This window comes from Homo sapiens, chromosome 1 (assembly GCF_000001405.40).
Source record: "Homo sapiens chromosome 1, GRCh38.p14 Primary Assembly".
NCBI classification, from domain to species: domain Eukaryota; kingdom Metazoa; phylum Chordata; class Mammalia; order Primates; family Hominidae; genus Homo; species Homo sapiens.
Window position 1 is genome coordinate 173,930,643 of NC_000001.11, and position 25,311 is coordinate 173,955,953.

The window sequence follows — 25,311 nt, forward strand, 5'->3', positions numbered from 1 at the left end:
TTAGCTGGGCATGGTGGCGCAGGCCTATATTCTCAGCTACTTGGGAGGCTGAGGCAAGAGAATTGCTTGAACTGGGGAGGCAGAGGCTGCAGTGAGCTGAGATTGTGCCCCTGCACTCCAGCCTGGACAACAGAGCAAGACACCATCTCAAAAAAAAAAAAAAAAAATGGAAAGACAAAAAAACATTTTGCATCAGGAAGTTACCATGACAAGTCCTTTTCACTTAAGCATAAAGATGGTCCTAATTTTCAGAAGCGCCATAAAAACCGAGACACTGGATGTTAGCCATTGAATCTCATTGAATTGATGCTAGTATCTCAGAACCACTACCCTCACTCCTAATGTGCAATCACTGTGTGACAAATGAAGGAATATGACTGTAGCTTATTTAAGATTGGACTAATTCCTGTGATGTCCACACAAAATTGGCTACTCCAAGTATGTGTTTGCTCATGCAGATTAGCCATTTCTTTATTTTTCACCTAAAAAAGCCCCCTCCATTAAAAACGTGTAAGAAAGTAATCTCAAGATTAGAATAAGATGGCACACACTCATTTACAAAATACACACGTTCCTCATTAATTTATCATTTAATATAAATGCTGACAGAAAGCAGATAAAGACCTTGTAGACATTTTCATATATTTACAATCCAAAAGGTGAATCACCTCCTTCTACTTGTTAAAATAAATCATTTTATCTGCAACTCATGGGAGCCTTAAACACTAATTAGGAGCAACATGAGGCTGAGTCAGTTTCCAAGGTAATAAAGGAAATAGCATTTTAACAAAATGGGCATCTTTGATATAAACATGCACACAAATAATACAAAATTGAGAAAGATGGCCCTAGTACTCTCAAAAATCGGCAACAAGTGGGAACATGTACTTATTTAGACCCAGAGTTCTGCTGCCCTAAACATCTTCCTACTACTATTTCTTTTTTTCCACCACACTTGTTTTGAAAGCTGCTTAAAAATCAGAAATATTAAACAGATTAAAAACAAGAGAAAAACGGTCTATTTCAAATAGGGTTCTTTTTCCTACTCCAAAAGAACTCTCAGGAGATAAGGTCTTCAAATAAGACTTCACGGTTTGCCAGATCCTAAGGAATTATTCACAGCCTGTGAAATTCCAATCCATTTGTCTTCACCATTCCAACCTATTTGTCTTCACTTCTCTTTTTAAAGTTGGAAACACTTGGAAAAAGTAAAATTTCACAAAATTCAGCAATTAAAAAATCAGCTGTCACTTTAAGGCTCAATTTTTTTTTTTCCTGAACAGGGGGGTGGAGGCAGGCAAGAAAGAATAGGGAGCTGTGGCAATAAAAAAACAAAAAAATGCAAGAAAACTTTAAAAAATGGTAAGTCTACCACTGATTTATAAGAGCAGGAGTATAAATTCTATCCAAAAGTGTAAGTGATTTCACTTACAACCTGACTCAAATCTCATGGGCTCCTTTATTAACCAAGATTATTTTTGTCTTGTTAAATATACCTCTGCAGGGCACAATCACTTACAATCAATACGATTGGTAAATTACACAAGCTCTATCCCAAGCAAATATGCACCAATGTTAAAAAGTTATTTTTTTAAAAAAAACAAAATAAAACAAAATAAAATCCACCCAAAAAGGTGATAATGACTGCAGAATGTCTCGGGGAGACTGATATGAGCCTAAAGACCAAATTACCATAGTCAGAGAAAAAGGGCAGAAGGGGTAACAAGGGGAAGACACCACAAACACGAAGAGGAATCTCAAAACTGGAAAATGTTTAAGTGGGTGAAAGGTTTTGTTCATTACCTTAATTCACTTTTTCCATTGTTCTTGTACCAAAAAGTCATAGATTAATCATAAAGAAAGATAATGAGACCTGTGGACTAATTAATTTTTTTAAAAAAGTTCCTTTTATTCCCAGGAAGCAGGGAAGAGGAAAAAGGATGAACAGGGGAGAAGTGTGAAAATTTAGGCCAACGATCCATCTGGAAAAAATAACTCTCAAGACAGTGTCTTAGTTGAATAGAGGATGTAAAAACGATAAGCAAAAGCTAAATGCCTTTAAGTCAGAGAATTATTTTATGGGGTAGTTCAGATATTATAAGAATGACAGCCAATCAATGGAGAAAGATTACACAAATAAATGGTGATTAAAAAAAGGCAAATAATAATAATAATAATAATAGAGCAACCAATTATTCACCCAATAGTTTGTTTCCAATCTTTTTCTTGACTCTTTCATACACTCACTGGGGTGGGGGACCACCTGACAGTTTCCAGTTATAAGATGACTCTGAGTGTACAACCTAAAATGGATGCCAAAGACTTGTGAGCTCTGTCTGCTTAGAGTTAGAACAGAAACAAAAACAAATCTGAAACAGTAAGACCTCAATACAAGAAAACAAGTCACCTTATCTAGTATAAAATAAACATTAGGATAACAAACTCCACAGGATTTTATTTTTCTAAATACACATTTTTGGACACGATATTATGTTGAGGTTTAAGTTCTTCCCCCTTATTGTGCCTTATTTTCTTGTGAAAATAAAGTTCGTTCTCTAGGGATGTTTCAGGGATAAAGTTTAGGAGAAATTCAGTGTTTGGCTGAAAATCCAGAGGCTCTGAAAACAAGGATTCCAGTGGTGAGGTAAGTCCCTTTATTACAATAAGATTTCAAAGGGCTCTTTACCCACTTTGTTCAGTGCAGTATTGAAAACATACCTATTAGGAATAGATTTATTATTAAAAGGTGTTACTTATTCCTGGTGGTGATAGTCTTACTCTTTATTAACACTATAGCTAGTATTACTTATCAATTATAATCTATTACTTGTGGAAAGATCTTTAGTGAACACAGAAATAAAATCTTAAAAATTCAAATCTTAAGATTTACTTGCTACAATTAATAGTACCTTTTGACAAAAACAGCTTTCTTCTTGAAGTGGCTCAGAAAAGCTAAATTGAGAAAATGTTTAATAGTAACTATAATCAACCTACAACTCCCAATAAGTCATTTCAGCAGGAAAATTTCATAAACCTGAGCTGAAGCAACAAATAAATATAAAAATCATAGCTGTCCAAGGTAGAAAGGTATGAATGTGGATCAGCAAAATGGGCACTCAGGTAAAATGATGACAGTAGTAGACTGCTTGCTTGTTTAGGTGCTAATGATGAAAGTAAAATTTGCTTTAGTTTAGTAGGTCTAATTTTTCTTAAAAGGATAGGCAGATTTTTCAGGGGAAGAGATCACCTTGCAACACTGTAACCATATCATCAGTTAAAAATTTAACACACTTAGACTCTTATTAGGGGGAAAAAATCTAAGTAAACACTGCAGTTAATTTCCAGGTAGGTTATTAATCTCTCCTAAAAAGTAACTGGGCCATTCCTTTCAATGACATATAAATCGTTACAGGTGCTTTTTACAGATAGATTTTACAAATAAAACCTTTACTCAATTATTTAAAACGAGCAAAAAGAGAGTAGAAAAATGGTGAGACTGCTACCCACCACCATTTGTATGTAAGTGACAGCAACTGAATACTTCTTTACTGAGACGAATCCTTTTTTTTAGTGAAAGTATTTTGTCTTGAATTTTAACAATCTGTACATGTACTGACTATAGTTAGTTATTTCTCACCAGTCACATACTCAAGAATTCTTTTACTCAGACCCATGACTTGACCACAGTGATAGCAGAAGCTGGGGTGGGCACAAATGCTTATACACAATATTACAAAAGACGACATTCACTGGCTTAGAGAAACTGATGAATTTTCATTACTTTTACATTTTATAAGGCTAGCTAACTTTAACAGTTAACTTTAGATAAATCTACTTACACAGTACAATCAACTCACAAATACTAAAAGGTTTCATGATCAAAATGGCTACTACTTCCCCCAAAACCAAAACAGAGTAAAGCACAAGTCTTTGGCTCTCCTTTAAAGAAAACAGCAGGTTACCATTCTTAACCAGACCTTTGTTTGCCTACCAGTAGGGCAAATACCACATTTGTGCATCACTGAGTAATAACACCATTAGAAAAGGCAACTTCACAGAAGTTATTGGCTAAGCGAATTCATTTGAATGCTCTGTTTTGAGGCAGCAAACTGTCACTGTTGCAGATTGGGGAGGGCAGTGGGTAAGTCAAGGGGAAATTACAGGGTGGAAAAAGGTCAAGAAAAAAAAAGACATATATGGAAAAATGTAAACTTTGAGCTCCATCCCTGAAGAACTCTGGAAAGTCTGATGGAGTTATATACTCAAAGTAGCAAATGAGAATCATACCAATATTCTTTTAGGCAAAAGAAATACATGGGAAAGAATAGAAGGGAAGGGAAATAAGATGGGAGAAAGGAATCACCAACATTAATGCTGTACCAAACAATTTTTTAAATACATTCTGAGTAGTTGAATATTTGTAGTTGGCATTAGGAATAATGTCTTATCAATATCTAGAATACTACTACTAGAAATCTAGCTAACTCTTCTTTTAATTAGAAAAGTAATAAGGAATGGATCTTTGGTCACTTCAGCCTCTGTACGTTATCTAAGACAGGACAGTTACTGGACTTATCTTATGACAAAATTATATATAAATTAGGCAAAAGAGCTACATATAAACCAGAAATGGAATCTAGATGTCTTATTCTCAGTTCTTCTACCCTTTCCTAGCGACTCCTTGAAAAAAGAGTAAGTCAAAATACTTTTATATTTCTCGCTATAAATAAAATTCCCTCACCTATGTATGAGTGAACACAATGCTTATTACTCCTACCTTAACCCATTCAAAATTGTTCATCTCAGATATCTGATTTTTGCTTTGGAATTTAGTGAAATACAAATAAAGTAATATTTAGAAGAAACTAATATTTTAGTAAGTAGAAAACATAAAAACTGTATTTCCTATCTGGTTTCATCTTTGTCTCTAAAAAAAAAAATTAAAAAGCCAGAAGCAATTAATACCTTTTCAATTTTGATTTTAAAAAAGTAGTTACAGAGTCAAGCAGTTATGCCCAAATATGCCATTTGTCCTTACAGGCTCATGATATCACAGAGAAAAGGAAAAGGAAAAAAAGCAAAAAACAAAAAACAAATTTTGGGGGTGTTAGTGAATTCCTAAAACCGCTGATGAGCACTAGGAAAGCTGCAAGAATTTCCATTAGGTAAGGTGGAATGACCAATTTAAAATACATTATAGGCACAATGGGACAATATACCATCCTTCTGCCTTTCTGCCCAACCAGATTAGCTCTAGAGTGTAGGACCATGGAGGGGTACAGCTTGAATTCAGGTTACAATTAAAGAGATTTTTTTTCCCCCAAATGAAAATACATGAAAAGAGAAAGATACTATTTTAAGTCAAGTTTATACAGTGACTTTTCTGGTTTTGTTCAGAACAGGAATACTGTATAAATTAATCCCTGCTCCTGCCTACTTCACAGAATCAAAATGGCAAAAGCCAAGAACAAGTGTATTTAAAGGAAATGAGAACAAGAATAACAGAAACTGAGTTACTAAGGGGTTTCAACTGATATCCAAAATGAATCTTTACTTTTATTTTAAACTTAAACAAAAATTAATACCCACAAATTATCTTCTAATACAAGAATCATTCTGAATTCCAAAGTGAATCAACTGCTTCTAAAATTTAGGATGATCTGACATACCCAAAGGAGAAGATCAGTCCAAATCTGCTTATAAGAAGGTTGTAGTACAAAAATTAGCTGGACGTGGTGGCGCGTGCCTGTAGTCCCAGCTACTCAGGAGGCTGAGGCAGGAGAATCGCTTGAACCCGGGAGGTGGAGGTTGTAGCGAGCCGAGATCAACCCACTGCACTCCAGCCTGGGCAACAGAAGCAGACTCCCTCTCCAAAAAAAAAAAAAAAAAAAAAAAAAGAAGGTTGGAGGCCAATAATGTTGCCTTTTACTGTTATGCAGAGAAATGAAAAATCTTGGGACTCTGTCAGACATACAAAAGTTTCTTTCCTTCTCCCAATAAACAATAGGCATTTAAAGTGGAAATGTAAAAGGGTTTTAAGTAAAAGTCAAAAAGCAAACAAAAGCCAAAAAAAAAAGAAAAAGCATACATATATATATATATATATATATATATATATATTTTTTTTTTTTTTTTTAAAAAAAGAAGACAAATGTATAAGAAAACTGGAAAAAAAAAAAGCCTCACCTTCATTCAGTGCTTCTACCACCTCCCAATCGGTCAATTTATCGCAACAGCTGCGCTCATGCGAAAAAATCCTTAAAACATACCCAATATATATACAGATATAGCTATGTATATATGTATATATATAATATATATATAAATTTTTATTTAAATAAAAAAGAAAGCTCGAATCCCAAGCCAATATGTGTATATCAAATCCTTGACCAGCCAGGTCTGTAGGGCATAATCAAATTCAATGTGAAATAGTATATAAACACGGTGCCTTGACTGGGCAAATTAAATAATTGCTACTCAAAAGAGTGTTCTGTTTGGACTCTCCTACTGGTAGGCAATGGCAGGACTGTATTACCCTTCCCACCCCCACCACCCATTTGTTTAAGTTAACAGTATGATGGACACAGAGCTTAGACTGAGGTTGTTATGACCTCAGCAGGAGTTAAGGGTTAAGAAAATAAGAAACAAGAAAAATATAAACTCTTGTTTTTACTCAACCAAAGCAATGTAGTAACTTATTACATAACCAGTGCTTTCTAATTTAGTAGTAAAATACAGAAAGGGAAACTGAAAAAAATCAGGCAAATAGAGGAATGGAGAGGGCAACTATATCAAACAGTCCCCACTAAACACGTTTTATAGGGTCTTAGTTAATTAAGCACAGACACATGGCATCAGAATATGTGCAGCAGAATTAAAAAAAAAAAAAACCTTACTCTTTTCAATATTTTCATGAAGAAACATTTGCAACATTGGACAGTTAAGTCTATGAAAAATGACTTCAAACTATTTCCTACCTACTTATACTAATGATTCTGAGCAACAAGTGATCAATTCATAAACTATCCTTAAGACTCAATCAGTTCACAAGTAAAACAAAACATCCATTAAAATAATGTGGCTCTATTCATTTTAAGTTCAAATCAAATGTTGCAGTTTTAAAACATAGTTGATTGTCCTTGTTTTTTAGCATCCTATGATGTCAGCAAAAGTTTAATTTGAAAAGCACTGCTTCAAATTTCCAACCATGAGCTGAACGCAGGCGAAACACCAAACATGTATTTTCAGTGCTAGTAAGTTACAGTTAATTCTTGATCAACATTTAAATCTAATTAAACACTGAATCAGCTTTCTGATTATATTAAGAGAATGCAAATGATCCTTAATATGAAAATGAGGACTTCAAAATTGGTAATTCTATTTGAAAAGTTGAAAATAAAAACAAGAAATAAAACCCTCCCAAACAAACAAAAAGCTTCAATGTCAAGAAAAATATACGTATCCAATGAAGCTAGTGATCTAGAAAGGGATAAAGAATTCCAAATAACAGCTCTGGGAAAAGTTGGTTTGCTGCACATTTTCTAATAACTCAGTCTAGTACTGTCTGTTTCTCAAGCACCACAGAATTCTCTGAAAGCTGACATTTTTGGTCTGTTTTAAGTTTATGGGGTGGTGAGAATTGATAAGGATTGGGGGTGAGGAATTATACAAATTATACACTGGGTATGTAATACCAAAATACAAGAAAACCTACTTCATTAAGATCATACAATTAATCAAACAGAGTGTATATATAATATCTTTTTTTTTTAAAGCCCTGGATCCAAGGCGTCCAAAGTTATTAAAATAAAGTTCATTCACAGAACAAAAACAAATTTAATCTGAATTGCTTGCAGATACTGCTAATTTTCTTTTTCTTTAAATTAAAAAAATGCATTAATGTGAACTATGTGCAGGGTTTGTTTTTAGTAGTGGTGTTTGTGCACATTGCCTCTGGTGAATTTCCTGGATTTCTCTGACCGCTCTTAAGAGAAAAAGTTTAGAAGTTATGCGTTCTCCTACCCCTATGCCCGACAAACTGATTAGGAGCAGAAGATAAAAGTAGGACTCCTCATATTTTAAGGAGCAGAACTGGGAGTAACTCCTGATCTCTGGGAGTCATTATTATCCCCTCCTCCCTCAGGGTCCTCTGACAGGTTCAGAGAGCTGGTCTTGTTTGATAGGAGGCTGATATTCTCTTGTGTCAAGGCTGATCCATTTGGTACATCACTGCTGACATTTTAAAATTTTGAAAAAGGAGAGAGAGAAAAATGATTACTACAATAAAATCAACAGGGGATATAATTTAGCATGATTGAAAATATATAAATGGCTTCCACATTTTAATCTACAGCCCCTTATCCATGTTTTAGCACACAGTTGGCAAACTAAAGCTAGCCAGGTGCGTATTTTTTTTTTCAGGTGCATATTTTTGTAACTAAAGTTTTATTGGAATATAGCCTGGTCATTTGTTTAACGTATTATCCACTGCTTTCAAACCACAGAGCAGAGTTGAGAATTGCGACAAAAACTGTAAGGCCCGTATCTTAAAATACTTACTACCTGGCCTTTAAGAAGAGTACTTATCCCTGATTTAGCAGGTTTGCTACTACAAGAAATAATTTTGAGCTCATGCCTATAATCCCAGCACTTTCGGAGGCCAAGGCAGGTGGATCACTTGAGCTCAGGAGTTGGAGATCAGCCTGGCCAACATGGTGAAACCCTGTCTCTACTAAAAATACAAAAATTAGCCTGGTGGTGTGTGCCTGTAAAAACCTACTAGGGAGGCAGAGGCACAAGAATCACTTGAACCTGAGAGGCAGAGGTTTCACTGAGCCAAGATCGCACCACTACACTCCAGCCTGGGTGACAGAATGAGATTTTATCAAAAAAAAAAAAAAAAAAAAAAAAAAAGCCAGGCATGGTGGCTCATGCCTGTAATCCCAGCACTTTGGGAGGCCGAGGCGGGTGGATCATGAGGTCAGGAGTTTGAAACCAGCCTGGCTAAGACACTGAAACCCCGTCTCTATTAAAAATGCAAAAACTAGCCGGGTGTGGTGGCACGCGCCTGTAGTCCCAGCTACTCGGGAGGCTGAGGCAGGAGAATCACTTAAATCCAGGAGGCGGAAGTTGCAGTGAGCCGAGATCATGCCATTGCACTCCAGCCTGGGTGACGGAGTGAGACTCCATCTCAAAAAAAAAATAAAAAAGAATCCAAGATAGTGCATGAATTAAAAAAACAGTCAAAATCCAAGTCTGAAAGCATTAGAAATTTTTGTTATATATCATCAGGGGGGCAACTTAGGACTATGCATTCAAAAGCCTCAAAATAGCCTTAGAAAATAATTTAAGATATGCAAACAAAGCATTAATTGTAATACTGTTTATTGTAGGGTTGTTCATGGTAGTTGATATGTATCTTTCCGTATCTACAGAATAATACTGGATGATATAGGATAGACTGAATTAAAAACCAGGGAGATGGAGTGCTGGGTTTGTAAAACTAGCAAGAGGCTAAATGCCCACACACTTTAAAAAGACTGGAAAGAGCCGGGTGCGGTGGCTCATACCTGTAATCCCAGCACTTTGGGAGGCCGAGGCAGGTGGATCACCTGAGGTCGGGAGTTTCAGACCAGCCTGACCAACATGGAGAAACCCTGTCTCTACTAAAAATACAAAATTAGCCAGGCATGGTGGTGCATGCCTATAATCCCAGCTACTCGAGAGGCTAAGGCAGGAGAATCGCTTGAACCCAGGAGGCGGAGGTTGCCGTGAGCCGAGATCGTGCCATTGCACTCCAGCCTGGGCAACAAGAGTGAAGCTCCGTCTCAAAAAAAAAACTGGAAAGATAATATAATACACCAAAATGTTAACAAGAGTTATCTCTGAATATTGGAATTACAGGCAATTTTAAAATTTGCCCTTTTCTAAAATTTTCCATTTCCTAAAGCTAATTTTTTATAATATATTTAAGATGGGGGAGTGACTTTATTTTTTGTTTTTTCTTTTTTTTTACATTGAGCATATAGTATTTTTATAATGTAAAGATATAAGGCTGTATTCGAAATAAATTTAAAAACAAGGGGAAGATGGAAACATAACCAGAAATTTTCCTTTGTTAGGTATTAACAGATAATTCAACCTTGGATCTAAGTTTTGTAACTCCAGATTTATGCAAAAATATTCTTTTTTTTTTTTTGAGACCGTGTCTCACTCTGCTGCCAGGCTGGAGTACAGTGGCACGATCTTGGCTCACTGCAACCTCCTCCTCCCAGGTTCAAGTGATCCTCCTGCCTCAGCCTCCCGAGTAGCTGGGACTACAGGCACATGCCACCACACCAAACTAATCTTTGTATTTTTAGTAGAGACGGGGTTTCACCATGCTGGCCAGGATGGTCTCCATCTCTTGACCTCGTGATCTGCCCACCTCGGCTTCCCAAAATGCTGGATTACAGGCGTGAGCCACTGCGCCCGGCCGCAAAAATATTCTTTATGTACACAGAATAATGATATTTTAAGAATCAAATTATATTTATGAGGGTATTTCTGATATGACTGGATAATATATTAGTTTCTCTTTTGTGTGTAATTTAATATGGCTACGACAATCTCCTTTTCTTTACCTGAATGTCAATGTAAGGTCCTCAGCCGGAACCTTGTTTTGTGGTTCTGGTTGTCCATTTTCTGCTTGTTTACTTGTATTCAGTTTGCTTTTCATGTCCAGAGAACACTGGTTTTCCTTTGAAAGAGAAGGAAATAAAATCAGTTATCATCTATTTAATGGTGTTAATGGGAGAGACCAAATTACAGATAATACAAAGTGATGATCCAGAAATCATATTCAATTTTGTAAAATAACCAAAGAAACTGGCAGACTAAAAGAGTGACATACATAAAAACATAACAGAATACAATCCACTTGCTCACTAACCAAGCTGGACAATAAGACAGACAATGCCTCAAGCTAACATGAAAAAAAATTTCTCAGAAAAAAACAATGACCTAGAAAGGCGGCCAGGCATGGCGGCTCACGCCTGTAATACCAGCAGTTTAGGGGGCTGAGGCAGGTGGACTGCTGAGGTCAGTTTGAGACCAGCCTGGCCAACATGGCGAAACCCCGTCTCTACTAAAAATACAAAAATCAGCTGGGCGTGGTGGCACACGCCTGTAATCCCAGCTACTCAAGAGGCTGAGGGGGAGAATCACTTGAACCCAGAAGACGGAGGTTGCAGTGAGCTGAGATTGCACCACTGCACTCCCCACCTGGGTGACAGAGTGAGACTCCCTCTCAAAAAAAGGAAAAAAAAAAAAAAAAGGCTAGGCATGGTGGCTCACACCAGTAATCCCAGCACTTTGGGAGGCTGAGGTGGGCGTATCACCCGAGGTCAGGAGTTTGAGATCAGCCTGGCCAACAAGGCGAAACCCCGTCTCTACTAAAAATATAAAAAAAATTGGCTGGGTGTGGTGGCAGGTGCCTGTAATCCTGGCTACTTGGGAGGCTGAGGCAGAAGAATCACTTGAACCCAGGAGGCAGAGGTTGCAGCGAGCTGAGATCGTGCCACTGCACACCAGCCTGGGCAATAGTGCGAGACTCCGCCTCAAAAAAAAAAAACTAAAAAAAAAATAAAATACAAAACAAAAACTACCCTGGTGTGGTGGCAGGCACCTGTAATCCCAGCTACTCGGGAGACTGAGGCAGGAGAATCACTGGAACATGGGAGGCGGAGGTTGCAGTGAGCTGAGGTTGGGCCACTGCCCTCCACCCTGGGTGACAGAGACTCAGTCTCAAAAAAAAAAAAAAAAAAAAAAGAAAAGAAAACCAAAGTACAATAAATATCTTTAACATACTTACTGAAAGCAAAAAAAACCTGCATGCTCAATTTATTTGCTTAGAAAGATTATGAAAACTGGCTGGGCGTGGTGGCTCACACCTGTAATCCCAGCACTTTGGGAGGCTGAGGCGGGCGGATCACGAGGTCAGGAGATCGAGACCATCCTGGCTAACACGGTGAAACCCCGTCTCTACTAAAAATACAAAAAATTAGCCAGGCGAGGTGGCAGGCGCCTAGTCCCAGCTACTTGGGAGGCTGAGGTAGGAGAATGGCGTGAACCCGGGAGGCAGAGCTTGCAATGAGCCGAGATCGCACCACTGCACTCCAGCCTGGGCGACAGAGACTCCGCCTCAAAAAAAAAAAGAAAGATTATGAAAACTAAGCAACAAAAAAAATCATATCATGCAACCTGAGGAAGCCCCTAAGATTCAAAATTTACTAAAATGAATGTCTGTGCACTATGAAGCAAATCCTAAGCATATTAATGGATATAGTTTTTCCTAAGCATACATAATGGATACAGGAAACAATGTGCAGATTGCATATCACTCATAGCAAAAATAGGTCATCATTATAAAGGCTATGAAACTAGAATGTTATTTGGTGAATACATCTTTATATAACATGTTGTCATTGCAAAATAGTAAACACCATCCTATTTGCTTCCCTAATCAGTATGCTAAACAGAAATTTAAGACTTCCATTAAGTTCTTAAATTACAGAAGCATTAAAACCTTGTTTTCCCTAAAAGTTAACGAAGAATTATAAGACAAAGAACACACCCAAACCAAGAGAATGAGGAAGGGAATGATAAAATCGGAAGGTAGCCCACCTGCATGAGAATTATTTTAAATATTAACCACTCATCAGAGTGCCTTGAAGTGATGATTCTGTGCCTCTAGATAATTCTAGAGCCACATGAAAGATTTCATTTCACCTTCCCTCTCTTTCCCCACCATAACACTCACCATACTCAGTTCCCGTGTTCTCTTCCCGATTTCCCTTTCCACCTGGTGCAGTTCCAAGCTCAACTGCTCACTTGAGATCATCCCAGGCCATTTTGGAGGTGGCGGTGGTGGGGGCTGTGACTGGCCTGCCAGGGTGTTTGCCTCCCTCTGCAACACCAGCCTGTTACTAACAGCCTAGTGCATAAAGCCAAGCACACAGAAAACTCAACACACTTCACACCATGCACAGAATAACCAGGCTCAATTCCAGACCACAGCCTTGAGTAGCTTATCACCCAGCCATTTGCAACAAAATAATGCAACTGTAAGGTGCTGTTCTCTTTGAGTACCATTCAAACAAAAAAATAACAAAATAGGGACATTTAAATTTAGTAAACAGTAATTTCATCTTATGTATAAATTGCTCCTTGTATTTTCTGATTTGAAAGAGAAGTTGGCTACGCATGGTGGCTTGTGCCTTTAATTCTAGCACTTTGGGAAGCTGAGGTGGGAGGATCACTTGAGGCCAGGAATTTGAGATCCACCTGGGCAATATATCAAGACCTCGCCTCTACAAAAAATAAAAAATAAAAAAACCAAAAAATTAGCCTGGGATGGTGGTGTGGGCCCGTAGTCCTAGCTACTAGGGAGGATCACTTGAGCCCAGGAGTTTAAGATTACAGCGAGCTGCTATGATCATGCCACTGCACTCCATGCACTCCAGCCTGGGCAACAGAGTGAGACTTTGTCTCTCAAAAAAAAAAAAAAAAAAGGAAATGGAAGAAAAACAAGTCAACTACAGATGTGCATCTTTCCCCCTCTGTTTTTAATGGTAATTTTCTCTGAAGTAAATCCTATAACTTATTTCAATGAAACCTCAGTAATGGCAAGGACTTTTAACTGTACTGAGTTAAATATGTGGCAAGTTTCTAAATAATACTGATAGTCTTTTTGGACAGAAAATGCTCCTGGAAACTTTAAAACAAAAAATCATGCATGTGGTGGGGGGAAAGCGGAGGGATAGCATTAGGAGATATACCTAATGTAAATGACGAGTTAATGGGTGCAGCACACCAACATGGCACATGTATACCACATGTAACAAACCTGCACGTTGTGCACATGTACCCTAGAACTTAAAGTATATAAAACAAACAAACAAACAAACAAAAAACCATGCATTTGAAGATATGGAGTAATGCCTTATTGGGTTGAAGGTCTGAATCTTTAAAAAGTTAATGAACGAAAGATTGCCATAAGCAAACATGGCATTCTGTTTCTATGACAGGAATCGGCAAGACGTTCTGAATCAATGTAAATAAGCAATGGCGAAAGCAGACAAAATCTAAGTATTACATAGATTTTTAAAATTCCTAAATCTAATTGCGTACATAGGGGCACAAGCCAGCTATATGTTCCAAAAACAATCTCCTACTGGTCTTCCTAAAAAGAAAGTCTACTAAGAAAGTCTGTCTTATAACTTTTTTTCCCCCCTAAAGTGATGGCTTACTTATTATTAAAGATTATGGTAGAAAGACAGACTAATGTTCTAACAGTACCATTTTTTCCTCCAGAAAGGACAATATATTTATCATTAGAATGTCTTCAGTTTTCCATATTCAAAGAATATGTTCCAACGTAAAGGATGATGTATAAACAAAACCTAGTCTTCCTTATGTGGCACTTAAAAGATTTTAAAAATTCCTTTTTTTTTTTTTTTTGAGACAGAGTCTCACTCTGTCACTCAGGCTGGAGTGCAGTGGCACCATCAGGGCTCACTGCAGCCTCAACCTCCCTGGGCTCAGGTGATCCTCCTGCCTTCAGCCTCCTGAGTAGCTGAGACTACAGGCGTGCACTACCATGCCTGGCCAATTTTTGCACTTTTTGTAGTGAAGGGATTTTGCCATGTTGCCCAGGCTGGTCTCAAACTCCTGAGCTCAAGCAATCCATCTGCTCTGGCCTCCCAAAGTGCTGGGATTACAAGCATGAACCACCACGTCCAGCCAGATTTTAAAAATTCTTTAGTTTTGTTTTTCTAAGTGTCAGGCAGCATGATGGAAAGAACACTGAATCTGGAGTATGAAGACTTGGGTTCGTGTTTCAACTTCTGAGAAACTCATATACTTCAATCAAAAAAGGAGGACAATACCACCTGCCTAAAATATCAGGGATATTCTAAGGGTCAAATAAGATAAGTGGTAGTGATTTTTAAATGGTACAGAACTACGTAAATGAAAAGTGTTATTATTCTTATTACACCGGAACTATGTTTTACTTTTTAAGTCAAAGTTCTGTTTTTTTTTTTGAGACGGAGTCTCACACTGTAGCCTGGGCTGGAGTGCAATGGCGCAATCTTGGCTCACTGCAACCTCTGCTTCCTGGGTTCACACGATTCTCCTGCCTCAGCCTCCTGATTAGCTGGGATTACAGGTGCACACCACCATGCCCGGCTAATTTTTTGTATTTTTAGTAGACACGGGGTTTCACTATGTTGGCCAGACTGTTCTCAAACTCCTGATCTTGTGATCCACTTGCCTCGGCCTCCCAAAGTGCTGGGATTACAGGGGTGAAACCCTATCTCTACTAAAAATACAAAAAATTCGCTGAGTATGGTGGTGTACATCTATAACCCCAACCACTCAGGAGGCTGAGGCAGGAGAATTGCATGAACCCAGGAGGTGGAGGTTGCAGTGAGTTGAGATCACGCCACCTCACTCCAGCCTGGGCAACAGAGCAATACTGTCTCAAAAAAAGAAAACCAAAACAAACAAACAAACAAACAAACAAAAAAAACCTTAAATGTGCCATCAGGGAATATAAGCTCCTGTTGGGAAATTTTACGTAATCTGTTTTCTATTTTTAGGTAGCAGAAATTTTACGTTTTCTGTTGTCCCAGAGCTAAATCCAGTATTGAATTCTTTGAAGAATAGAAACCTATACTAACTCCTAAGAAATAGACCTTAAAGTTTTTTGTTCACAGTGCCTCAAAAGTTCCTATTTAAAATCTCTGAGAACCCTTCAAAAATTGGAATAAAATGGCTCTCTAGGCTGGTACCTCTAGTCCACGTAGCTGGGTCTGCTGGCTAATCTGATGGTTCAATTGCTGCAATTCTAGTCGTAGCTGTTCTCTCTCAGCAGATGGAAGGGGTTTTCCATGACTGGCCACTTCTGACATAGATATTCTCTCCCTTTGGTTAGAAAGAAAGTGTGAATCAAATTTTAACATTTCATTTTGTTAACATATTACTGACCAGAAAAACAAAAAGAAGTTGCCTAATTTTAAAGGTTTCTACATGTTTGTTCAAGTAAAAAGAATGACTCATACCTCTCACTGAAGTGTCCCTGAGAAGGTATGTTTTGATGAGGTGAATATGGAGAAGCTCCCCAGCCACCGTGGGTTCCATATGGACTATAATCTGTAAGAGAATGATTTATTATGGTATAATTCACAGATTTGATTCTTCTTTTAAGGTATTCATAATCTGAAAGACATCAGCGTATTGCATACACAGGTATCTGGTATCTACCCTAAATGTCCAGATTTTTAAAATTCTTTAACTTTGTTTTTCTAAATATCAGGCAGCATGATGCTGGGTGCTGATATATGTTTGTTTCTTCCCCAATGAACTTTCAGTCTTTGTAGTTTTTCTTCCAAATTACTGTATAATGAGAATGTTATTCCCCCAAATAACAATTAAGCTATTTGGGGTGGGGGTGGAGTGGGGAAGAAACATTAGGAAAGCTTCACATATAGACATTTAATTTCAGTTTATATACCTAAAATTCTCTGGGTTATATTACCTTTCTTACAGGGATGATTCCATGGAAAGTTTGAAAATTACTGCCTTGCAAGATTACTAAAAACACTGATAGTAAATGGAGAGCAGGGGTAATGCTGAAAGTCAAGATTATGAACCCTTTAGGTCAGCTTACCTCTGAGATTCTTACCTGAAATGTTAATAGATTTTGTAGGAGCTCCCTGAGGTGCCATAGCCTGCATTGGACCAGCACCCTGATATATAGTTTTGGAAGTTCGTGAGATGGCACCAAACCGAGACACTGTTGGTCGGTCTCCAAATGGGATGAGGTCATCATCACTGGTTTCTGCTGCTCTTCTCTGAAGATCTAATCGCTGGTCCCTCATTCCTTTACTCTCCACATTCTGATAAAAAAGCAAAATGAGAAATTACCCCACACTCAGATCGCTCTGTAACCTAATTTTTTCTAGATCTGTAATAAGGTTAAAGAAGAGTACAGCACTCTTACTGGTAAGACTAAAATCATTAGTTACCTTTGGTTGTTTTTATGTAACACTGGTTTTTAAACCTCTGAGGTGAGGGGCGACAGGGTCTCACACCGTGGCCCAGGCTGGAACGTAGGGGCACTCTCATGGCTCACTGCATCCTCAACCTCCTGGGCTCCAGTGATCCTCCCACCTCAGCCTCCTAGGTAGCTGGGACTACAGGCATGTACCAGCACACCCAGCTAATTTTTTTTGATTATTTATAGAGATGAGGTCTCCCTATGTTGACCAGGCTGGTCTCAAACTCCTGGGCTTAGCTTGCCTCAAGCTCAGCCTCCCAAAGTGCTGGGATTACAGGTATAAGCCACTGCACCTGGCCTAAGAAATATATTTTTAAAATTTATGGGAGGCCACTGTTTTGGACTAAGCTCCCGCACTAAGCCCCAAGACACCAGATCAAAGCAGAATGTAATCACTTATGCTAGATGCCACAAAATCAAACTGAACTTGAAAATGGGCCAGTTTTCCAAAAAACAGGAGATTCACAGCAATCAATCATAAGAGGACCACTCAATTTGAACTGGTAAGTCCCTTCTGCTTTAGTCCTATAAGGAAAATAACTTTGAAACAACTAATCTGAGTTTTGTTCCTTTTCTCTGTTTAGCTCATTAGAGCATCTTTCTATTTCACAGATGAAATGCTTCCTGATTAATCAATCACTAATAAAAGCCAATTCAATCTTGAAGAAATATATATATATATATAATGACCTAGTATATATATATGCATACAAATATATATTTATCCCTATATAATGTTACACATATATATAGACACACAAATATATAGTTTGTATGCACATTAACATTTGAGAAATACTAGGTTAGACTTCTTTCACCTATTTGGGAGGTTTTCAATTACCTCTAGATTGGATTGCAACTTTTTGTTTGTTTGTTTTTGAGACAGGGTTCTGCTGTCACCAGGTTGGACTGCAGTGATGTGTGAGCCTCAACCTCCTGGGCTCAAGCGATCCTCCTGCCTCAGCTTCTCAAGTAGCTGGGACCGGCGTGCACCACCACACCTGGCTAATTAAAAAAATTTTTGAAGAGATGGGGTCTTGCTATGTTGCCCAGGCTGGTCTTGAACTCCTGGGCTCAAACAATCCTCCCACCTTGGCCTCCCAAAGTGCTGGGGTTACAGGTTTGAGTCACCATGCCTGGCCCAAACTTTTTAATTCTTTACTGATTTAAGAAAATGAGTTTTATTTTGCTAATACTCGTGTTACTTTAATATAATAACCCTTTCCTTTTGAAAGCCAAGTACAAGGCAAAGATTCCTGCCTAATTTCCCCTCATTTCGTTCCAATAAGAGCCTTACTACAGCCTAAAAACAATGCTTCTGTAATTCTACTGCAAAAAAAAAAATTTTATTTTGCTTTTTCTTCCTCTAAAACTCTCTATTTTTTTGGGGGGGGGGGTGGGGCTGGCATATAATTGTATTTATGCTATTAGATATCACTTCACTCATTTACAGTGGTTATCAGCATCCAAATCTTTTTTTATTGCAAATATTGGTCTTTTCTTAACCACCTGGAAAAGTATTTATCTATGAAAATCTATATAATAACCTAGGAAACCTCTGTTAGAGTTAATAAGGACAAATGGGTTAAGAATAATAGTGAAGGCATACCTTTCAGCAATACCATTTCTTTTTTTTTTTTTCTGAGATGGAGTCTCACTCTGTTGTCTAGGCTGGAGTGCAGTGGCGCAATCTCGGTTCACTGCAACCTCTGCCTCCCAGGTTCAAGCAATTCTCCTGCCTCAACCTCCCAAGTACCTGGGATTACAGGCTCCTGCTACCATGCCCAGCTAATTTTTGTGTATTTAGTAGAGATGAGGTTTCGCCATGTTGCCCAGGCTGGTCTCAAACTCCTGACCTCAAGTGATCCGCCTGCCTTGGCCTCTGAAAGTGCTGGGATTATAGGTATGAGCCACAGTACCCAGCCAGCAATACCATTTCTAAGTGTAACTTTCACACACGTGAAGACATACATAAGAATGTTTGAAGAATGTTTGTTGGAGTACCATACCTAACAGTGAAAGATCAGAAATAGCCTAAATGTCCACCAATACAAAAAATAATCATTGTATGGTATCAGTTACACAGAATATCTCGTAAAAGCAGCTAAAATCAATAATCCTGAGCTACAGATATAAATACAGACTGGGCGTGGTGGCTCACACCTGTAATCCCAGCACTTTGGGAGGCCGAGGAGGGCAGAGCACCTGAAGTCAGGAGTTCGAGACGAGCCTGACCAATATGGTGAAACTCCATCTCTACTAAAAATACAAAAAAATTAGCCGGGCATGGTGGTATGTGCCTGTAGTCCCAGCTCCTCGGGAGGCTGAGGCAGGAGAATCACTTGAACCCAGAATGCAGAGGTTGTAGTGAGCTGAGATCATGCCACTGCACTCCAGCCTGGGTACAGAGTGGAACTCCGTCTCAAAAAAAAAGTACACATCTTAAAAGCAATGCTAAGTGAAAACATGAAAATGCAAGCTGAAGTGTACAATTTACATAAGGTCTATAAACATATAAAACAATATTGTTTAGGAATAGTATAAAATTATCCATGGCCAGGCATACTGGCACACATCTGTAACTACAGCACTTTCAGAAGCAGGAGAATCGCTTGAGCCCAGGAGTTCAGGACCAGCCTGTCCTACCCAGGCAACATAGCAAGACCTCATCTCTACCAAAAAAAAAAAAAAAAAAAAAGAGCTGAGCATAGTATCACACATCTGTGTCCCAGCTACTTGGGAGGGTGAGGTGGGAGGATCACTTGAGTCCAGGAGTGTGAGGCTGCAGTGAGCTGTGATTGTGACACTGTACTCCAGCATGAGGGAGATCCTGTCTTAGGGGAAATAAAATTATCCATGAAAATGATAAATACTAAACTCAGGATAGAGATTACTTAGAGGGAATGAAACAGGGAGAAAAATGAGACTTGGGGGATTTATACAGGGGGATATAACTACTTCTTGAAAATTTTATTTCTTTAAAAAATAAAAAGGGAATTAAGATACTATCCAGGTAGGGTAGCTCATGCCTGTAATCCCAGCATTTTGGGAGGGAGAGGCGGGAGGATCACTTGAGGCCAGGAGTTTAAGATCAGTCTGGAAACATAGCAAGACCCCATCTCTACAACATTTTTTTAAAAAAATTAGCTGGGTGTGGTAGCAAGCACCTGTAGTCTTAGGTACTCAGGAGGATCACCTGAGTTCAGGAGTTTGAGGTTACAGTGAACCATAATCATGTTACTGCACTACACCCTGGGTGACAAAGATCGATCCTATCTCTATAAAAAGAGATAAGATGAAGCCAGGCACGGTGGCTCACGCCTGTAATCCCAGCACTTTGGAAGGCCGAGGCGGGTGGATCACTTGAGGTCGGGAGTTCAAGACCAGCCTGACCAACATGGAGAAACCCCATCTCTACTAAAAAATATAAAATTAGCTGGCCGTGGTGGCGCATGCCTCTAATCCCAGCTACTCGGGAGGCTGAGGCAGGAGTATCACTTGAACCTGGGAAGTGGAGGTTGTGGTGAGCCGAGATCGCGCCATTGAACTCCAGCCTGGGCAACAAGAGTGAAACTCCATCCCCCCCCCAAAAAAAGAGATAAGATTTTGATAATATTTTCAACTTGGTTATTAGAAACACTGGTGTTACATGATTTTTCACTAAAGAATAAAATAACCCAAGTATTAAATTTCAGTATCTCAGCATTCACTTGAAGCTGAGCAGCTATAATTCTGACTCAAATACTACTTTTGTTCACTAGATTCAACTTTGTTATTTAAACTTCAGAGCTGTGAAAAAAAAATTTTTTTTTTTTGAGACGGAGTCTCGCTTTGTCACCCAGGCTGGAGTGCAGTGGCACGATCTTGGCTCACTGCACGCTCTGGCCTCCCGGGTTCATGCCATTCTCCGTGACAAAGAATTTTAACTTATTTGGTGAAGAAGTCCAAGATCTTAATTAATTATGTAAAATAATTTAATCTGGGTTATAAACAATTGTTGAGAAATTGCTATTTGCACAGAAATATAATAAATGCTCTGTCTCGGTAAGTATTAAAATATTTTTATTTACACCTAAATGAATCAAAAACCTATACTGTTTAAAGATAACTCAACTGCAGAGTATAGAATATGGTCTGAAACTCTTAAGCAAAGCTGAATTATTTGTGCCTAAATGGTAATGGGTAAAAATTTATTTGGTTTATCTTAATTTGTATTAATTATTGCTTAGCTATTACACATACCATCATTTCCACACTCCCTGCTGCCACAACATCTTTGGGTTTTGCATCTTTGGTTCCAATGTAGGAGCCGATGGTGTCACATGACCAGGGAGAGTATTGGCTATAATCATTTCCTTTGTATTTCCCAGCTACCTTCAAGTCTTCATCCAAAAACTACAGATGGAGAAAGAAAAAAAACAAAAAAAAAAAAAAGAGAAAGAAACAAAACAGGAAATGGGTCTATGAGTAACAAGACAGAGAAAGCAGGGAATTTCTTAGAACATCGTGCTGAAGCAACATAATGATGATTATTTGATTTTTAAGTGCCACAATAGAAGATTTTTGTAAACTACTATGAAAAATATAAAATAAGTGAAGAGTGATTTTTAGCTTTCAGGTTTTTTTTTTTTGTTTTTTTTTTTTACCTTAGCAGAAGGTAAAAAAAAAAAAAAAAAAAAGGTATTTCAATATCCTTCCAGGAATCAAACTAGGATTTTATGGGTTTGCTCATCCTTTTCTTCATTAGATCAGTAAACATTTAAGCATATATGTACCAAGCCATAGTTTTGCTAGACCCTCCTCAACGTTTCTTTCAATAAAATCAAGGTAAACAAGAACATTAAAAATTTTGATTTTTATAGTACATGATGATGTAGTAACTTTTTACTGAAATCTCTTTAATAGCAATAATTCATATCTTGAATAAATTCTGTTCCTTAGGTTGATTCAATGAGATGAAAAGGATGTCTAATTTTTATCTTCTCAAGGTAAGTTCTCCAGTCTAATAACAGAATAGCTATTCTAAGGCTAATGTATTTTCACTAAAATTGCAACATTCACATTTATAAAATGTTTTACATTTTCAAAGTGTTTTCATGTATACTACCTAATAAGCTCCTAAATCCATGATAGACAACACAGATGATATGACCAAGGCTATACCAGTATAGGGCAGTGCTAGGACTATAACTTTAATGTTTCTTTCATTTTATCACAAGACATACATACACTGATATCTAGGGGTATCAGTGTTCATTTGTATTGGTTCATTTAAGTGGATCTATGCCTCCCGCTATACTAAAAACATCTCTTTTCTGAGTCATCATTATTGGCCTTCTGCATTGACATAGGGTCTGCTGCTCACTAATATCACTCATTGTCAATCACTCTTCTGTCTCTATTATTCATAACCTCTTCCCTTTTCTTTGTCCTACTACTATTTAAAAAATTTTTATCCTTTTTTATTTTTCTTCTACTTACTAACTTTAGATAGAACAGCCAACTTTTAAACCACATGACCTACCAATTACAGTGCTCCTTTTTTTTGAGATGGTGTCTCGCTCTGTCACCCAGGCTGAAGTGCAGTGGCATGATCTCTGCTCACGCAACCTCTGCCTCCCAGGTTCAAGCCATTCTCCTGACTCAGCCTCCCAGGTATCTGGGATTACAGGTGCATACCTCTACACCCAGCTAATTTTGTATTTTTAGTAGAGAAGGGGTTTCACCATGTTGGCCAGGCTGGTCTGGAACACCTGACCTCAGGTGATCCACCCACCTCAGCCTCCCAAAGTGCTGGGATTACTGGCGTGAGCTACCATGCCTGGCCAAGAGTGCTCCTTTTTTAAATCTCTGTAGTGTATTATATGTAGCTATTTAAATGAATGAGATAAATTTATATACTGACATACAAAGACGGCCAGGAGAATGGATTAGGTAAAAACAAAAACAAAGGCAAGACAGACATAAAACCAAGATGTATTTACTAAATGATCCTATTAAAAAATAATAATGAGGCTGGGCAAGGTGGCTCACGCCTGCAATCCCAGCACTTTGGGAGGTCGAGGCGGGCAGACCACCTGAGGTCGGGAGTTCAAGACCAGCCTGGCCAAGGTGGTGAAACCCTATCTCTACTAAAAATACAAAAATTAGCTGGGCGTGTTGGTGCATGACTGTAGTCCCAGCTACTCGAGAGGTTGAGGCAGGAAAATTGCTTGAACCTGGGAGGCGGAGGTTGCAGGGAGCCAAGTTCATGCCACTGCACTCCAGCCTGGGCAACAGAGTGAGACTCCATCTCAAATAATAATAATAATAATAATACAGAGATCCAACAATCCCACTACTGGGCATTCATTCAAAGGAAAAGAAATCAGTATATGAAGGGATATCTGCACTCTCATGTTTTATTCCCAATAGCCAAGATATGGAATCAACCTAGGTATCCAGCAACAGATGAATTGATAAAGAAAATGTGGTATATATACAATGAAATACTATTCAGACATAAAAAAATAAATCCTGTCATTTGCAGCAACATAGATGAGCCTAGAGGACATCACATTAAGTGAAATTGGTCAGGCACAGAAAGACAAATATTTCATGTTCTCACTCAATGTGGGAGCTAAAAAGTTGAGTCACAGAAGTAGAGAGTGGAACTGTGGTTATGAGAGACTAGAAAGGGAATGGGGGGAGGGAAGGGGAGAGAGCTTGGTTAACAGATACAAAATTATAGCTACACAGGAGGAATTACTTCTAGCATTCTATAGCACTGCAGGGTGAGTACAGTTAATAATTTACTATATATTTTCTAAAAACTAGAAGAGAGGATTGTTTTTCCTGATTTGAAAAAATTATGTTTTTTTGAAGAAAACTTTTAACATCATAAACTGATCTTTATATACAATTTTATCCATTATTTCTATAGACCAATTCCATCCAGGTTTATTTACTTATTTACAAATGACATAAAAAATTTGGACGGGGCATGGTGGGTGGATTGCTTGAGCCCACGAGTTTGAGACCACCAGCCTGGGCAACACAGCAAGACCCTGTCTCTTTTTTAAGAAAACAGAAACATTTAAAATTTTCTACTTAGGATCTTGAAAGTCAAAATAAAATGGAAAGTATCTAGGATAGATTGACAAAAGAAAGGAATATCAACAAAATGATTTTCGATTTGAGGAAGAAAGAAACCACAATCTTAGGCTGGGTGTGGTGGCTCACACCTATAATCCCAGCACTTTGGGAGGCTGAGGCGGGCAGATCACGAGGTCAGGAGATCGAGACCATCCTGGCTAACACGGTGAAACCCTGTTCCTACTAAAAATACAAAAAATTAGCCAAGCGTGGTGGCGGGCGCCTGTAATCCCAGCTACTCGGGAGGCTGAGGCGGGAGAATCGCTTGAACCTGGGAGGCGGAGGTTGCAGTGAGCCGAGATCACGCCATTGCACTCCAGCCCAGACGACAGTGTGAAACTCTGTCACAAAAAAAAAAAAAAAAAAAGAGAAACCACAATCTTCATACAACAACAACAACAACAACAACAACAACATCACGTTTGCAGTAAGAGATGTTGGCTTTTTTTTTTTTTTTTGAGAAGGAGTCTTGCTCTGTCACCTAGGTTGGAGTGCAGTGGCGCGATCTCGGCTCACTGCAAGCTCTGCCTCCCAGGTTCACGTCATTCTCTCACCTCAGCCTCCCGAGGAGCTGGGACCGCAGATGCCCACCACCACGCCCGGCTAGTTTTGTTTTCGTATTTTTCGTAGAGACAGGGTTTCACTGTTAGCCAGGATGGTCTTGATCTCCTGACCTCATGATCTGCCCACTGTAGCCTCCCAAAGTGCTGGGATTACAGGTGTGAGCCACCGCGCCCGGCCAATTTATAAAGGAATCTTGAGATAAACACTATGTCAACAATGTTGTAGATACAAAAAGCAAGGACAACAGTAGATCTACCCAGCATTTTTCCTTGAAATAAAATCTGAAAATCATAAGGAGATATTTATTTAGCCCACAGGAAGAATGTTATTCCTACAATGTTACATAATACAAAAATTTACAATTAAATGTAACACTGCTCTCTTCTTCAAAGAAAAGTTGGATGACTGGCCAGGCGCAGTGGCTCATGCCTATAATCGCAACACTTTGGGAGGCCGAGGTGGCTAGATCATCTGAGGTTAGGAGATCAAGACCAGCCTGGCCAACATGGTGA

At 38.5% G+C, this 25,311-nt stretch overlaps 1 protein-coding gene across 20 annotated transcripts in view, besides 1 other annotated feature; it reads right to left on the reverse strand.

Annotated features, from left to right (window-relative positions):
• Positions 1-441: 441 nt before the first annotated feature.
• Positions 442-25,311, reverse strand: part of RC3H1 (ring finger and CCCH-type domains 1) — a 91,274-nt gene continuing 66,404 nt past the window's right edge. For 5 of the 20 annotated variants that reach the window (XM_047447096.1, XM_047447090.1, XM_005244921.4 and 2 more), the window contains 7 exons: positions 21,344-21,496; positions 16,727-16,940; positions 16,104-16,194; positions 15,834-15,966; positions 12,800-12,973; positions 10,623-10,738; positions 442-8,232 (listed from right to left, as the gene is read on the reverse strand). In XM_047447096.1, the coding sequence (XP_047303052.1) occupies positions 8,079-8,232; positions 10,623-10,738; positions 12,800-12,973; positions 15,834-15,966; positions 16,104-16,194; positions 16,727-16,940; positions 21,344-21,496 (1,035 nt within the window). In that variant the 3' untranslated portion in view covers positions 442-8,078. The remainder of the gene's footprint in view (positions 8,233-10,622; positions 10,739-12,799; positions 12,974-15,833; positions 15,967-16,103; positions 16,195-16,726; positions 16,941-21,343; positions 21,497-25,311) is intronic. The other 15 variants (XM_047447095.1, XM_047447102.1, XM_047447094.1 and 12 more) reach the window with 5 other exon arrangements.
• Positions 16,121-17,320: an enhancer, noted in NCBI's record as "MED14-independent group 3 enhancer chr1:173915901-173917100 (GRCh37/hg19 assembly coordinates)". NCBI's record gives its function as "activates an origin of replication core promoter dependent on BRD2, BRD4, P300/CBP and CDK7 cofactors, and independent of MED14, by STARR-seq in HCT116 cells {active_cell/tissue: HCT116}" and the evidence as "EXISTENCE:reporter gene assay evidence [ECO:0000049][PMID:35650434]".